The following is a 16,149-nucleotide window of genomic DNA, read 5'->3' as shown; positions in this document are numbered from 1 at the left end:
TGGAGTCTTGCTCTGTCGCCCAGGCTGGAGTGCAGTGGCATGATCTCGGCTCACTGCAAGCTCCGCTTCCCGGGTTCACGCCATTCTGCCTCAGCCTCCTGAGTAGCTGGGACTACAGGCGCCCCCCAACATGCCCGGCTAATTTTTTGTATTTTTAGTAGAGACGGGGTTTCACCGTGTTAGCCAGGATGGTCTCAATCTCCTGACCTCATGATCCGCCTGCCTCATCCTCCCAAAGTGCTGGGATTACAGGCGTGAGCCACTGCGCCCGGCCAAAATCAGTCCTTTTTTAAAACTCTGCTTGATTTGAGTCTCCTTAAGAGTTTGTATTCAAATTGTAATTGCATTCTCCAGCCCCTCTATTTTGCCAATAGCCTTGAATTTATTTTACTAGATAGTATTTTTACAGGTTTTTTTTTAAATCAAAGCAATATTTTAAAGTCTATAGTAAAAATGTCACATGTACACTGTTTCCCTGCTCTGTTCTCCATCAACTCAAAAGTCACCACTTTCATTCATTCTTTCTTCATTCTTCCAAAGTTTCTGAGTACAAACTAGTATAATTATGTATCTGATTACTTAATTTTCTCTCTCAAGCAACACCGTCCTATGTGTAAAACAAGGTAAAAAACAAAACAAAACAAAACAAAAACCTTGTTTACTTTTTATTTCTTTGACAATGTATCTTGGAGATTGTACCTAGAGAGGTTCTGTCTCCTTCCCTACAACTACAAATAATCCATTTTACCAGTCTCCTGTTGACAGGCATTTGGAATATTTCCCATTTTTTGCTGTTACAACAATGTCATAATGAATACTGTTATATATGTACAGGTAGAAGTAGGAAAAATTGCAGAAGTGGGATTTTGGGGTCAAAAGATAAATATTAGATATTTGATGAGTATGTCCCATGAGGCATATACCAATGTGCCCTCACCAACACAAATTAGTGTCTGGTCCCCAAAGCCTTGCCAACTGACTGTTGTCAAACTTTTGTTTTCTGCCAACCTGACCATAAAATGTATTATCTTAAGGTACTTTAAATTTGCATTTCTCTTTCCAGTAAGATTATCTTTTCATATATTTAAGGGCTGTTTGTTCCCCCCCTTTTTTTTCTGTGAATGGTCTATTTATATCCTTTGCCTGTTTCTGTATTGGGTTGTTGGGCTTTTTTCTTATTGAGTTCTAGTAGCTTTTTCTATACTAGGGAAAATAATCCTTTGTCTATTATTACATGAGTTGTAATTCCCTCCCCCACCCTGAGTTGTCTTTTGACTCTGCTAATAGCATTATTTTGCCACACAAGTTTTCTTAAAATATACTTATGTAGTCCAATGTATCACTCATTTATTTTATGGCTTTTATATTTTGCATCTTTGTTACAAAGTCATATATATATATATATATATATATATATATATATATATATATATACATACAGCATAAGTCTTTTATATATATACACACACAGCATAGTATATATTGTATATATTTATATGTACATACAGCATATTGAAGTCTTTTATCTATATAAAGAGACACATATATAAAATATATAGGCTTATATATAGGTATATACATACAGCATATTAGATTTTGTTTTCTTCTTTGTATTTATGGCTTCGTTTTTAAAAACTTAAATCTTTAATCCTTTGAGGGTTATTGTGCATGGACAGAGTGAGATGTGGACCCTCCCTTACTTATATACTTGTTTATTTATGTTTATCTCTGGATGGGCAGCCAGTTGTCCTGTGACCTTTCACTGACAAGTTTGTCTTTCCCCATGACCTGTGATGGCATCTTTAGTGCGTCCTGGGTCCCGGCTGTGCTGGGGTCTGGTGGCGGCAACTGGTTTGGTGGTTCTCTCTGTTCCCCCTGCTGAGCTGTCACAGAGTGAGTTTATATGACTTTGCTCCCCAGAGCTGGGGTCGAGCTGCAGGAGTACCCACTTGGTGGGGGGGCCCTAGAGTGGAGAAGAGATGGTGGTCTCTGCCAGTGGGCCTGTGGGCATGGGGCATCTGTGATGTCAAAACACCAGCAGGAATTCTCCCTGTCTCCTTGGTGCCCTGGCCTTACGGGTAGAGACTACCTGGCCCACCTGTTTGGCCCTCCTCAGCTCCTGGGCTCAAGGGTACAAAAGCCACCCTGCCTTCTCCCCAGGGTCCCATGATGGGCCAGCCTGCCCCAAGGTTCCCCTGGGAGCCTCCACCTCAGACACAGCCTCTCACCTGTGCCAGCCAGGTCCCACCCACCCACTGTCCCAGCCTCTGCTTGACTCAGGCAGTAGCAGGTCGCAGTTGGCAGCAGAGGGGAAACAGGGCGTGTTTAAGTGGCCTTATTCCCAGAATCCTGGCTCCAGAGCTGTGTCTGAAAGGGAGAGGAACTACTTTGTAACACTTCGGGGGTGGGGGGAGCTGGAAGGGCAAGTCTGTTTCCAGGTGAGAAATAATGAACAACTTTTTTTTCTTTTCTTTTTTGAGACAGGGTCTCGCTCTGTCACCCAGGCTGGAGTGCAGTGGTGCGATCACGGCTCACTGCAGCCTCAACCTCCTGGGCTCAAGCAGTCCTCCCGCTTGGTCCTCCCAAATAGCTGAGACCACACGCTTATATGGTAGTGACAGTGAGGATGGAGAATAGTAAAAAAGTTTAAGGGATTTTTTTTTTTTTTTTTTTTTACTTTTTATTATGAAAATGTCCAAATAGGCTGGGCCTGGTGGCTCACACCTATAATCTTAGCACTTTGGGAGGCCGAAGCGGGAGGACTGCTTGAACTCAGGAGTTCAAGACCAGCCTGAAAAACGCAGTGAGACCTCGCCTCTATATTAAAAATAAGTAAACAAATTTAAAACTGAAAAAAAAAGAAAATGTCCAACATGAAGAAAAGTAAAAAAATTTTTTTTTTTTTTTTTTGAGACAGAGTCTCGCTTTGTCGCCCAGGCTGGAGTGCAGTGGCACGATCTCCGCTCCCGAGTTCACGCCATTCTCCTGCCTCAGCTTCCCAAGTAGCTGGGACTATAGGCGCCTGCCACTGTGCCCGGCTAATTTTTTTATATTTTTAGTAGAGACGGGGTTTCACCGTGTTAGCCATGATGGTCTCGATCTCCTGACCTTGTGATCCACCCGCCTCCGCCTCCCAAAGTGCTGGGATTACAGGCGTGAGCCACCATACCCGGCCAAAATTTTTTTTTTTTTTGAGACAGAATCTTGCTCTGTCACCCAGGCTGGAGGGCTGTGGCACAATCTCAGCTCACTGCAATCTCTACCTTCCAGGTTCAAGCGATTCTCATGTCTCAGCCTCCCGAGTAGCAAGTGCCACCACACCTGGCTAATTTTTGTATTTTTAGTAGAGACGGAGTTTCACCATGTTGGCCAGGCTGGTCTCGAACTCCTGATCTCAAATGATCCACCTACCTCTGCCTCCCAAGGTGCTGGGATTACAGGTGTGAGCCACCATGCCCAGACAAAAAGAATTTTTTTTTTTTTGATACTGAGTCTTGCTCTGTCGCCCAGCCTGGAGTGCAATGGCACAATCTTGTCTTATTGCAACCTCTGCCTCCCGGGTTCAAGTGATACTCCTGCCTTACCCTCCCAAGTAGCTGGGATTACAGGCATATGCCACCATGCCCCACTAATTTTTGTATTTTTAATAGAGGAGGGGTTTCGCCATGTTGGTCAGGCTGGTCTTGAAAGTCTGACCTCAGGTGATCTGCCTGCCTCGGCCTCCCAAAGTGCTGGGATTACAGGCATAAGCCACCACGCCCAGCCAAAAATAATTTTTGTTTTTTTTTTTGAGACAGAGTTTAGCTTTTGTTGCCTAGGCTGGAGTGCAATGGCTCGATCTCGGCTCACCACAACCTCCGCCTCCTGGGTTCAAGTGATTCTCTGCCTCAGCCTCCCAAGTAGCTGGGATTACAAGCATGGGCCACCATGCCCAGCTAATTTTCTTGTATTTTTAGTAGAGACGGGGTTTCTCCATGTTGGTCAGGCTGGTCTCAAACTCTCGACCTCAGGTGATCCGCCTGCCCCAGCCTCCCAAAATACTGGGATTACAGGCATGAGCCACCGCGCCCGGCCAATAATATTTTTAAGAAATGAATACAGGCCGGGCGCGGTGGCTCACGCCTGTAATCCCAGGACTTTGAGAGGCTGAGGCGGGTGAATCACAAGGTCAGGAGTTTGAGACCAGCCTGGCCAAGATTGTGAAACCCTGTCTCTACTAAAAATACAAAAAATTAGCTGAGTGTGGTGGTGGGCGCCTGTGATCCCAGCTACTCTGGAGGCAGAGGCAGAGAATTGCTTGAACCTGGGAGGCAGAGGTTGCAGTGAGTCAAGATTGCGCCACTGTACTCCAGCCTGGGCGACAGAGCTAGACTCCATCTCAAAAAAAAATTAAAAAAAGAATACAGTTACTTATTGCCTAGATTTAACAATAGCAAGGAGCCAACTCCTTGCTGGCTGCTCTACTAGAAAAAAAAAAAAGAGAGAGAGAGAAAAGAGAAAAAACAATATTTGCCGTGTTTATTTTTATTTATTTATTGCTGATGAATTATAAATTCTAGACATCATATTTCACCCCTAAAAACTTCAGCATGAGGCTGGGCGCGGTGGCTCACGCCTGTAATCCCAGCACTTTGGGAGGCTGAGGTGGGCGGATCACGAGGTCAGGAGATTGAGACCATCCTGGCTAACACGGTGAAACCCCGTCTCTACTAAAAAAAAAAAAATACAAAAAAATTAGCTGGGCCTGGTGGCGTGCGCCTGTAGTCCCAGCTACTCGGGAAGCTGAGGCAGGAGAATGGCGTGAACCCGGGAGGCGGAGCCTGCAGTGAGCCGAGATCATGCCACTGCACTCCAGCCTGGGCGACAGAGCCAGACTCCGTCTCAAAAAAACAAAAAACAAACAAAAAAAAAAAACAAAAACTTCAGCATGCATCTCTGAAAAGTAAACACCCTACCATTATTATATCTGAGAAAATTAACAATAATTCCTTAGTGTCATCTATGACCTAAGCCATCGTCAGATTTCTGCCTTATCCTAAAACATCTCTCTCACAGCTGGTTTGTTTGGTTCAGGATCCCGTCCAAGTCCATGCCTTGTATCTGGCTGTCTCTTCAATCTCCCTTGAAGAGCCCTACCCTTTCTTTCTGCCTGGACATTGACTCATTGCCCTGCCTGCAAGGTGTCTATTTGCTTCCTTGCAGCAGTGTTTCCGTCTTCCTCTAACCTTGGTGTTACCTGAGAACTGGTAGGCAGGTCTGCAAGGCTTAGGCTGGTCGGATCAATGGGGCTCAGTGTCAGATGAGGCAAAGCCAGCAGGAGGCAAGGATGATTCTACCTTGAGTGACAGAGGTAGATGTCACTCAGATGCTAAGATCGGGGAAGGAGGAGGGAGAGGACAAATTTGATTTGGGGCACACGGTTTTCGACATGTACAAAGGACATCCAGATGGCAATGGGCTATGTGAGCCTGGAGACTGTGCTGCGAGTTGTTGATCTACAGCCGGTGGGGCTGGGCTCTCCCAAGGCGGTGGAGTGAGAAGCCAGGTGAGACACCAAGCATGAGGCCGTGGCAGAGGAGGTGGAGCCTGGGGCCCAATTGCTGAGCAGTAGCAAAGAAAAAGAAGGAAAACTAGGAGGCCTGGCCTGAGGAAGCCCAAGAAGGAGAGGATTTTAAAGAGCAAACACTGGAGAGAAGTCAGGCCAGAGGAGGACCAGATCTATCATCAAGGAAGTGGTAGAAGGCCTCTAAGCAGTGGGCTGATTGTCTAAGTGAGGGAACAGAGAAGTTGGCTCAAAAAGGAGGAAGGGAAAAAGGAATTAGTTGTTAAAAGGAGATGCAGAGCTGGGTCCAGGGAACAAAACTTTTTTTTTTTTTTTTTTTTTGAGATGGACTCTCTCTCTGTCACCCAGGCTAGAGAGCAATGGTGTGATCTCTACTCACTGCAACCTCTGGGGTTCAAGTGGTTCTCCTGCTTCAGCCTCCCAAGCAGCTGGGACTACAGGCAACTGCCACCACGCCTATTTTTTTTTTTTTTTTTTTTTTGGTATTTTTAGTAGAGATGGGGTTTCACCATGTTGGCCAGCTGGTCTTGAACTCCTGACCTCAAGCGATCCACCTGCTCAGCCTCCAAAGTGCTGGGATTTCAGGCGTGAGCCACTGTGCCCAGTCAACATTTTCTTTTTAAGATGGAGAGACCAATTGGGTGCAGTGGCTCAGGCCTGTAATCCCAGCACTTTGGGAGGCTGAGGTGGGAGGATTTCTTGAGCTCAGGAGATCAAGACCAGCCTGGACAACATAGTCAGACCCTGTCTCTAAAAAAAAAAAAAAAAAAATTAGCCGGGCGTGGTGGTGTGGGCCTGTACTGCCAGCTAGCCAGCTACCTGGGAGGCTGAGGCAGAAGGATTGCTTGAGTCCAAGAAGTCAAAGCTGCAGTGAACCATGATCGTGCCACTGCCCTCCAGCCTGGGTGACAGAGCAAGACGCTGTCTAAAAAAAAAAAAAACCAACATGGAGAGGCCTTGAGTTTGTTGAAATGAGAAAGGGACAAAGGTAGTCAGAAAGGAAGGGTTGGAAATTTGAGGTGAGGCCACTTCCGAGCAAGCGGGAGGCTATGGGGTCCTTCAGGACCGGGCTGAGGAGGTTGGCTTGGACGGCAGGCCCCTGTGCCTTCCACTGGGGGAGGGGGAAGGAATGGTGGGTGCAAACACAGATACGTTTGAGGGGGAGGGCAGAAGGTGATCATTCCTTGGTCTCATTTTCCCACCTCCCTAGTCTGGCTCATCCCTACAGCCTTCGCTGGCTGGGAGGTTCCCTCATGGACCATTTCTTTTTTTTTTTTTGAGATGGAGTCTCGCTCTGTCACCCAGGCTGGAGTGCAATGGTGCGATCTTGGTTCACTGTAACCTCTGCCTCCCAGGTTCAGGCAATTCTCTTGCCTCAGCCTCCCGAGTAGCTGGAATTACAGGCGCACGCCACCACGCCCAGCTAATTTTTGTATTTTTAGTAGAGACAAGGTTTCGCTATGTTGGCCAGGCTGGTCTGAAACTCCTGACCTCAAGTGATCCTCCTGCCTCGGCCTTCCAAAGTGCTGGGATTACAGGCCTGAGCCACCGCACCCAGCCCCTCATGGACCATTTCTGATCCCTCCTGGCCCCAGCAGCCCTGCTGGGTGTCTGCCAGCCTTACTTAGAGCACAAGCGTTGTGAGCCCTGAGGATGCCCCACCCCAGCTCCCACCCCGCCCTGGAGGAGCAGGCCAGGCAAGCAGCCCCATGAGGTCACCCAGAGGCTGGGGACAGAGTCCAGAGCCGAGGGCACCCAATCGAAACCCGAAGTCAGAAAAGCAGAAGTGCAGGCCTGCTTTCCCCCAATCCCCATGGGTGTGGGAACCCAAGGCCCGCTCAGTTCTTTCATAGAACCAGCCCTGTGACGGAGTAGGGTTGACAGCTCTGTTCTACACATGAAGAAACTGAGGCCCAGAAATTCAAGCAGCTGCTCAGCGAGAAGCTGAAGTAGAGTCTAGACAAGAGTCCAAGTCTCTGGTCTCCGGCTCCACTCTTTTTCCCTCTGAATCAATGGAAGCTTCTGCCCCAAGCCCAAGAAAAGGGTCTCACCTGAAACCGTTACATTTGGAATCTCACCCCACATCCATGCAATAAGATTACACTGAGTCAGCCGGGCTGCTCATGCCTGTAATCCCAGCATTTTGGGAGACCAAGGCGGCGGATCACTTGAGGTGAGGAGTTTGAGACCAGCCTGGCCAACACGATGAAACCCCATCTCTACTAAAAGTACAAAAATTAGCTGGGCATGGTGGCAGGCACCTGTAATCCTAGCTACTCAGGAAGCTGAGGCAGGAGAATCACTTGAGCCTGGGAGGCAGAGGTTGCAGTGAGCTGAGATCGAGCCACTGCACCCCAGCCTGGGTGACAGAGTGAGACTCCATTAAAAAAAAAAAAAAAAAAAAAAAAAAAAAAAAAAAAAGATTATACTGAGCCGTGGTGCCACACCTGGGAGGCACAGTCAAATCACCCAAGGAGGCTTAAAATTAAACACTTTCCCCAGGTCCCGGCCCAAACCACTTCCATCAGAATCTCAGAGGGCTGAGCTAGGCACAGTTCCCCAAAGCCTACTGAGGCCTGAGGCCCAGGATCCTGTGGGGTCACCCCCAGCTCCTCCGATCCTGCCCCTGGACATGTAGCTCTGGGCCAGGCCGGGATGGTTAAAGGGAGACCCAGTTTCTGTCCTGGAGAACATGTGTTTGGGGGAGGGACCTGTCGTGTGGACATGACTGAGCTCCTTGAGGCAAAGATCACCATTCCTTCTGGCTCTCCCTCCACCTGGCTTGGGTGGCACAGAGCAGACTCACTGAGTCAACAAAGGACACCATGTCCCCTCGCCAGCCCCTGAGCCAGTTCCTGGGCCAAGTCCTGGTTTGGAGGCGTTCATTTTGCCTCTAGCCCCAGAGGACTGGGTCTTCCTAGTGCACCTGCTCCTGCCCCAGCACTTCCTATGAGGGTTTGGGAGGGAAGAGTGAGGTCAGAGTGGGGAAAGGAGGGGTGTTGTGCAGCTGGTTTGTTCTAGAACCTCTCCTGACCCTCCCCCTTGTGCCTCTCAGAGGCATGAGGGTGTGGTGGAGGGAGGTGGACCCCTCTGGGGAGCCACTGTGGTCATCACCTCCTCTCACTGGGGGGAGGGAATCCGAGACAGGGCCTGAGAGCCAACTTCTGTGGCCAAGAGCAGGCAGGAACTGTGTGAGTTTGTTCACTCCCTATAGTTTGGGGCTGGAGCCCCCTGGGAGACCCCCATCATGGGGGCCCAGCTTCCTACTGGGGAAGAGAAGCAGGTGAGATGCCAGGTGAGTTGCTGGCTGCCCATTCTGCAGTCCCAGCCCTGACACTGACACTCCTGGCTCTGCCATAGGGAGTCCCTGCCCCCCATGCTACCTGCAGGGCAATGCTGAGGGCCTGAGTTCCACACCTGTCCTCTTCTCTCCCCTCTCCACCCAGCTCCTCCCTGGTGGCTCAGAGTTTCTGGCCTCTCTGGAATTTACAGAGGCTATTCCTGTCTCTGAGGCCTGGTTGCATAACCCTTGGTGACCTGTCATATGCACGCACACGTGTGTAGTGTGTGTGTGTGTGTGTGTGTGTGAGTCCTCATCCCTGGCCTCAGGGTGGGGACAGAGAGATGGGTCAGGTGTGTGATAAGCATGAGGCCTCCAGCCTTCTGTGATTCCTGCTGTCCTCCACCCTGATAGCGAGGAGGGGATTAGTCTACCCCTGGGGTCTGGGCTTCTGAGTCGGGTACAGGGGATGGGACACTGGTATGAGAGCTTTTGTGGGCAGAGCAGGGCATGGGGCCCAGTCTTGCTCCTAGTGTGATCTCTACAAGTGTCTCGTGCCCCACATTCACACTGTGCCTGGCTCTGCTTGGGGTCCTTGTCCCCAGCCCACAGTGGGTACAGGAGAAGAGGGGCTGAGAGACATGGCAGGGGAGAAAAAGAGATCCAGGGTGGGGGCCAGAGGAGGAAGAATGGGCCTAGAGTGGAAGGGTGGGGGTCAGAGCCTGACCAGGAAAGGAGGTGGACTTCAGCAGGGGTGGGCTGGTGGGCTTAGTGCTGCCTGGCCCTTAAGCCTGGGGAGGAAGCACTTCTAAGGGAGGAGGGAAGACAAGATGGACCCATGGGCTCAGAGGAGGGGCTGTAACTTCTTACTCAGGGCATGTGTCCACTGTGCGTGGCTGGGGTCTGTCATCCCCACACGAGGGGGTGAAGGGAAGAGAGGCCAGGAAGAAGATTTAACCTTCCTCCTGGAAGAAGCTGGTGCCTGGCCCTCTTCTCTGGGTCCTTAGAGAGGAGGGGACAGGCACGGGCATACTTGTACACGTATGTGGACACGCAAGTGAGAGTGGGCACATGTGGGCATGCAGGCGTGGGAGGGCATATGCATCTTGGTGACCGAGTCTGGAGGAGACAGACCCAGGTGGTCAGGCGGGCAGATAGTGATGTGGTCAGAATCCTTCCTGTCCTCCTCGGGGCTGGCACAGTCCAGATGCCAGCTCCCTGTGATATCACATCTGCCCAGACCCCTTCCTCTTTGGGAACTCTTCCCCTCCCCCCCACAAGCTTCCTCTTTCCCATTACACCCTCCCTGGGCCTAGAGGGAGTGGACAACCACTCATTGTCCTGTTTCCGCCCCAGGAGCCACTCCAGGCCAGCCCAGGCCCCCAGCACTCAGCGCCCCCTCTGCCCACCCTGTCTGTGCAAGCGCGCCCCTCCCCCACAGGCTCAGCCGTGATTCTCTCTGTGCAGTTCATGCTGTGGCTGGGTCTGGCCGTGATCTTCCTCTGTGCAGCCCACACCATGGCTATGTCTGGGCCTCGGATGCGGCTCACTGGTCATTAGAGCACTGAGTGGGGCAGCCAGCAGTGTTTCTAGAAGCATAAAAATACCCTCAACCTGAGGCCCCTCCACCCCACCCGCCCCAACTCAGGCAGCACTTCCGCAGCCCTGACAGGAAATGGGCTGGAGTCTCAGCCTCCCGCCATCTCGGCAACTTCTTGTTTCCCTGTTGCCCTGTGCCAGCACTGGGGTAGTGCCCCTGGGCTCTACCCCCAAAACCTTCCCAGGGCTCTGTCCCGGCAGTTCAGAGGGGCCAGGATGGTGGACATAATCGCCAAAGTGACCAGGAGGCAGAGTCGAGCCTTGCCGGCACAGGTAGGGGATGCTGGGGTCAAGGGGTGCCCGGTGGGCCTCTACCACAAGCCCTGTTAGGAGCTGGGTGAGCTGGGGCTTAGAGCAGGGAGCCTCTTGGAAGTTGGGGCTCATACTTCCTTTTCTCTTTCCTTCTCGGAGGCCCTGCCCATCCAAGAGGTGGTCAGCTTGGGGCAAGAGTGGCAGGGCTGCCACCTGCTTGTGGACAGGGGAGGGAACTGGAGATAAGGGGTGAACCACTGTAAGGCAGTACCAGGGGGCTGGGCAGCCTGGAGCCTGAGAGCCAGGTCCCTCTTGGCTCCTCCTCTGGCCTGAGGTCGGAAGGCCACTTCTTGTCTCTAGGATGCGACCCAAGAGCCATTGATCCCGTAGTCAGGCCCCTGCTTATGAGCTGCATCTGGGTCTTGTCTGGGCCTCCATGAACAGGAGCAAGGAGGAGGGTAGGGGTGGCAGGCGCCTGTAACTCCTTGAAGGCCAGAGGATGTGGAGGGCGTGACTGCACCTGGCCCCAGGAGCTGGTTAGAACCCAGCTGAGGCTCTGCCAGGAGAGGAGAGCATCTCTATCTCAGCACTGTGCAGGGTCTGCCGAGAGTTCCAGAGTTTGAAGGGGCCTGAAGGACACTGCAGTTCAACACCCACCACAGGGCTATGGCTTCCCTAACAGGGAGTAGACTCTGCTCAGTCACCTCCAGTGAGGGCCCCTCACTACCTCCAGAAGCAGCCTGTGTCTCTGGCAGCCCTAGTCCTCAGAATGCTTCCTTCAGAGGAATGCTGCTGTGCCCCTGCAGCATGATACCCCATCTTCTCTTCCTTGTGACAGCCCTGTCATGCTGGGGACCTAAACTTCTACCTCCGAAATCTCCTCTGTACCTGCTGGGGACATTCCTTCGTGTGAGGACCCCATCAGCCTCACTGGCCTGGGACTCCTCGTGGACCCAGAGCCATGGCCCACAGCCTGCCAAGTAGAAATTCCTGCTCCAAAGAGCCTGTTCCTTATCAGCTCATCCACCCCTGGTGGAGCCTTTCAACTCCTGCCCCAGTGCGTTCAGCTGGGAGGATGGGAGGTGTGTCTGGTTCCTCTGCCTTCCTCTCCCCGCTGCTTCCATCCTGCCCTCCCCAGGAATCTCCTGGTTTCTGTGGCTCCGACCCTCCTCCTCAGAAAGCTCAAGCTCATTCCAGGCTCTTCTGTCATGTCAGGCATGTTTGTTGCTGAAACTGGGCATGGGTTAGACTTGTGTACACAAGCAGTTTGTGGCAGACCTGCTATGTGCTTCAGGGCATTGGCCCAGCTGCTGGGGGGCAAATGGAATCAGCTACATTATCCTTAGTCTTGCTCTCAAGAAAATCCTGCCTTTTGGGGCAGAGGAGGTGGGCAGATGGTTGGACAACTGGCTGCCCACCAAGGCAGAACGCCATTGGGCCTCAACAGAGCAGTGAGCAGAGTGCCAGCAGGTTTGACCTCTCCCTGGAGAGGCTTGTCAGCTGAGCACCGTGAGAGAGCAGGATTTGGGTAGGCAGAGAACCAGAGAAGGGAATTCCAGGCTGAGGGAATGGCTGGAGCAAACGCTTCGAGGTGGGAGGATGCCTTTTCTGTTGGGGGCCGGTGAGAGGCCTGTTGTGGTTGGACTACAGGATGCCACATCAGAGCTATGGTGGGGGTAGAGAAAGGACAAGTGGGGTGGAGGGTCCCCTCTCAGCCACACAGCAGCCTGGAGGAAGGGGAGAGGAGAGAAGAACTGATGGGCTGGGATCCCCAGCTCTCCCTGTCCCCCAGGCGCCTGGGGACTGGCACCCTGTCTAAAACTGTAACATCCTCTTCATTGACAGTGTTTTCATTTCTTGCTTAGCAGTGATCAGCACTGACATGCTGTCCATTTACTCATCACCCCCACCATTTACACACAGGTGCACTTGAGTGCCAGCTCTGCCAGGGAAGGATTTGTGTCCCTTTCTTCCCTGCTGTATTCCCCGTGCCTCAAACAGTGCCTGGCACAGAGCAGGTGAATCTTTGTTGGGTAAACAAATGTTCTTCTTTTCCTTCTTCTTTTCATTGTTTTGGTTTGGTTTGCTTTTTTGGCATCAGTTTGGTGAAAAATGAATTTTTTTTTTTTTTTGGCATCTGCCTAAGGCTCAGGGAGAGACCACCCTGAACAGGTGCTTCCTCTTTCGAGGAGTTTACAGCTTAGTGATGGTGTCACAGTCAGCAGAGGAACTTCTGTGAATTTTTAAAAGTTTTGTAGTACAAAATTTTGAGGCTGCAGGAAAGTTCAAAGAAAACAAAACAAAAACAAACCCCTATAATCACAGTGCTCAGAAGGGACCTCTGTTAGCATTTTGGAAAGTTTCCGAAAACACAAAATTGAAATGTGGAAATCTGCTTTCCCCTGAAGTATTGTGTATGCTTAGAAAATAGTAGTAATTGGCCAGGTGCGGTGGCTCACACCTGTAATCCCAGCACTTTGGGAGGCCCTGGTGGGCGGATCACCTGAGGTCAGGAGTTCAAGACCAGCCTGGCCAACAGGGCAAAACCCCATCTCTACTAAAATACAAAAATTAGCCAGGCGTGGTGGTGCGTGCCTGCAATGCCAGCTACTTGGGAGGCTGAGGCATGAGAATCGCTTGAACCCAGGAGGCGGAGGTTGCAGTGAGCCGAGATCACACCATTCCACTCCAGTCTGGACGACAGAGCGAGACTCCATCTCAAAAAAAAAAAAAGAAAAAAAAGAAAAAGAAAAAGAAAAGAAAAGAAAATAGTAGTAATCTCCGTATGCCATGCTGCTGCCTGGGGTTTGAGAATGTAGTCATCTGTCCCTCTGTGGGGCCAAGGGTGCTGGGCTGAATGTGGGGGCACGGGGATGGGGGGAATCTCAGGAAAAGGCTGGAACCTGGCACCTCAGCTGAATCCTGAAGAAGGAATTGGAGTCAGCCAGGCAAAAAAAGGGGTGGAGATGGGCCTGGGCAGGCTGCAGATGAGCCTAGGCCTGGAGGAAACACAGCAGGGACGGTGGGGACCTCTAGCAACTGGTGCTACTGGAGCTTAAAGTTCAAGGCAAGGGGCAAGGAGTGGCAGGAAATAATAGTGGAAGCACAGGCCGGTGAGGGACGGTCTCTTGTGCCTGGTTAAGGGCTTAGACTTTGCCCTGCAGCCAGCAGGGAGCTCTGAGGTGTGAATCAGGAGAGCCTCTGTTCCGGGAGGCTTACGCATGGCTAGGTTTATGTTCTATGTGATTGAACCCCCAGCTGCCCTCACTCTCCTTTGGGGTGGAGTAAAACAATTCACCTCTCTTTGCCCCTCCATTCTCCAGCCCATCTGGCTGTCCTGTCTCCCTCTCTTGTCTGGAATTGGTTCTGACACCTGCAAACTTCACCTTGGAAAGTTCAGTCCCCAAATCCAGACAGGGTGCTGATTCCAATCCCAGAGCTTTCTGGGCTGAGAGTGGGGTGGGGTGGGAGCTCTCAGTGGAGCTGTAAGAATGCAGCTTGAATCCAGGAGGTGGTGGTTGCAGTGAGCCAAGATTGCGCCACTGCACTCCAGCCTGGGTGACAGAGCTAGACCCCATCTCAAAAAAAAGAATGCAGCAGGGCCCTGAATGGGCACCATAAACAGGGGCACGCCCCAGACCACTTCTCAGTTCCTGCCCAACCTCTGACTTGCCTCTGTGAGTGCACAGTTGTGAGAACTGGGTTATCGATGTTTTATTATTATTGATAAATATAATTAATGTAATTGACCCACCCGTCTGGGGCACTAAATACTTTACAAAGTACTTTCAAGAGCATTTCCTCATTCACTCTTCACTACAGTTTCCGGAATGGACAGAGCAGACATTTTACACCCAGGAAACTGAGGCAGAGAGGTAGTGTGACTTCCTGAAGGTCGCCCAAGGGGCTAAAGCTCAAGAAGAGGCCACTTCTAACAGGCACTTCCCCTTTCAAGGAGTTTACGGCTTAGTGATGGTGTCACAGTGAGCAGAAGAACTTACGTGATTTTTAAAATGCTTTGTTGTACAAAATTTTGAGGCTGCAGAAAAGTTTAAAGAAAATAAAGCGAAAACAAATAAACCCCTATAATCGCACTGCCCAGAGGGGACCTCTGTTACCATTTTGGAAGGTTTCTGAAAACACAAAATTCCTCCTTTCTCCTCCCGCAGGTGGACGACCCACCGGAGCCCGTGTACGCGAACATAGAGAGGCAGCCCCGGGCCACTTCACCGGGCGCCGCTGCAGCCCCCCTTCCCAGCCCGGTGTGGGAGACGCACACGGACGCGGGCACCGGGCGCCCCTACTACTACAACCCAGACACGGGAGTTACCACCTGGGAGTCGCCCTTTGAGGCTGCCGAGGGTGCCGCCAGCCCAGCCACCTCCCCTGCCTCGGTGGACAGCCACGTGAGCCTTGAGACCGAGTGGGGCCAGTACTGGGATGAGGAGAGCCGCAGGGTGTTCTTCTACAACCCGCTGACGGGCGAGACGGCCTGGGAGGACGAGGCCGAGAACGAGCCCGAGGAGGAGTTGGAGATGCAGCCGGGCCTGAGCCCTGGCAGCCCAGGGGACCCGCGGGTGAGGGGCAGGGCCAGAGTGGGCGGTTCTACCTCTGAGCGCCTCTGATCCCGCCTCCTGCTCCCAGAGGCCCAGGGACACACGGGTGAGGGGGTGGTGATGGGTGGGCGGGGCTACCTCTGAGAGCCTTTGACCCCTTCTCCTGCTCCCACAGACCCAGGGACCCCAGGGTGAAGGGCGGGGCTGGAGTGGGCGGGGCTACCTCTGAGCGCCTTTGACCCCACCTCCTGCTCCCACAGACCTAAGGACCAGAGGGTGAGGGGTGGGGCAGGATGGGTGGGGCTACCTCTAAGCGCTTCTGACCCCGCCTCCTGTTTCTGCAGACCCAGGGACCAGAAGGTGAGGGGCAGGGCTGGAGTGGGCGGGGCTACCTCTGACGCCTTCTGCTCCCACAGCCCCAGGGACCAGAGGGTGAGGTGCGGAGCTACCTCTGAGCGCTTCTGACCCCGCCTCCTGCTCCCACAGCCTCAGGGACCAGAAGGCAAGGGGGTGGGCCTGGTCCAAAACGGCAGGGCCAGCAGGCAGTACTGGCACTCAGAGCCTCTGACTCCACCTTCTGTTCCCCGCAGCCCCCCACTCCCGAGACGGACTACCCCGAGTCGCTGACCAGTTACCCCGAGGAGGACTATTCTCCCGTGGGCTCTTTCGGTGAGCCCGGCCCTACCTCTCCCTTGACCACACCCCCCGGCTGGTCTTGTCATGTCAGCCAGGACAAGCAGATGCTCTACACCAACCACTTCACTCAGGAGCAGGTAGGGGCAGGGGGCAGATGGACCCGGACAGCCTCAGAGTCCTCCCCACAACCTTCCTCACTAATAGGTCGCCTCAGTGCTCTAAACCGCAGCTCCCACACAGAGCCTAAACCAGCCAAACACAGT

At 52.2% G+C, this 16,149-nt stretch overlaps 1 protein-coding gene across 53 annotated transcripts in view, besides 3 other annotated features; it reads left to right on the top strand.

The window, feature by feature from the left end:
* Positions 1–16,149, top strand: part of ARHGAP27 (Rho GTPase activating protein 27) — a 38,963-nt gene that overhangs the window by 11,924 nt on the left and 10,890 nt on the right. For 29 of the 53 annotated variants that reach the window (NR_169600.1, NR_169601.1, NR_169609.1 and 26 more), the window contains 2 exons: positions 14,864–15,271; positions 15,841–16,023. Coding sequence is in view for 32 of the 53 variants with exons in the window: in NM_001385384.1 (NP_001372313.1) it covers positions 14,864–15,271; positions 15,841–16,023 (591 nt within the window). In the remaining 21 variants the exon portion in view is untranslated. Of the gene's footprint in view, positions 1–10,560; positions 10,716–11,183; positions 12,713–14,863; positions 15,357–15,594; positions 15,683–15,840; positions 16,024–16,149 lie in introns of those variants that run through there. The other 24 variants (NR_169612.1, NR_169613.1, NR_169611.1 and 21 more) reach the window with 7 other exon arrangements.
* Positions 8,791–8,978: a silencer, noted in NCBI's record as "fragment chr17:43489335-43489522 (GRCh37/hg19 assembly coordinates)". NCBI's record gives its function as "represses an EF-1alpha promoter that drives an FKBP-Casp9 reporter gene in an ReSE screen in K562 erythroleukemia cells {active_cell/tissue: K562}" and the evidence as "EXISTENCE:reporter gene assay evidence [ECO:0000049][PMID:32094911]".
* Positions 8,791–9,321: a biological region, named in NCBI's record as "H3K4me1 hESC enhancer GRCh37_chr17:43488992-43489492".
* Positions 8,821–9,321: an enhancer, noted in NCBI's record as "H3K4me1 hESC enhancer chr17:43488992-43489492 (GRCh37/hg19 assembly coordinates)". NCBI's record gives its function as "activates a minimal SCP1, AML or CMV promoter by ChIP-STARR-seq in naive H9 embryonic stem cells {active_cell/tissue: H9 hESC(naive)}" and the evidence as "EXISTENCE:reporter gene assay evidence [ECO:0000049][PMID:30033119]".

This window comes from Homo sapiens, chromosome 17 (genome assembly GCF_000001405.40).
Source record: "Homo sapiens chromosome 17, GRCh38.p14 Primary Assembly".
Taxonomy (NCBI): domain Eukaryota; kingdom Metazoa; phylum Chordata; class Mammalia; order Primates; family Hominidae; genus Homo; species Homo sapiens.
This window is presented reverse-complemented; position numbering and strand designations above follow the sequence as displayed.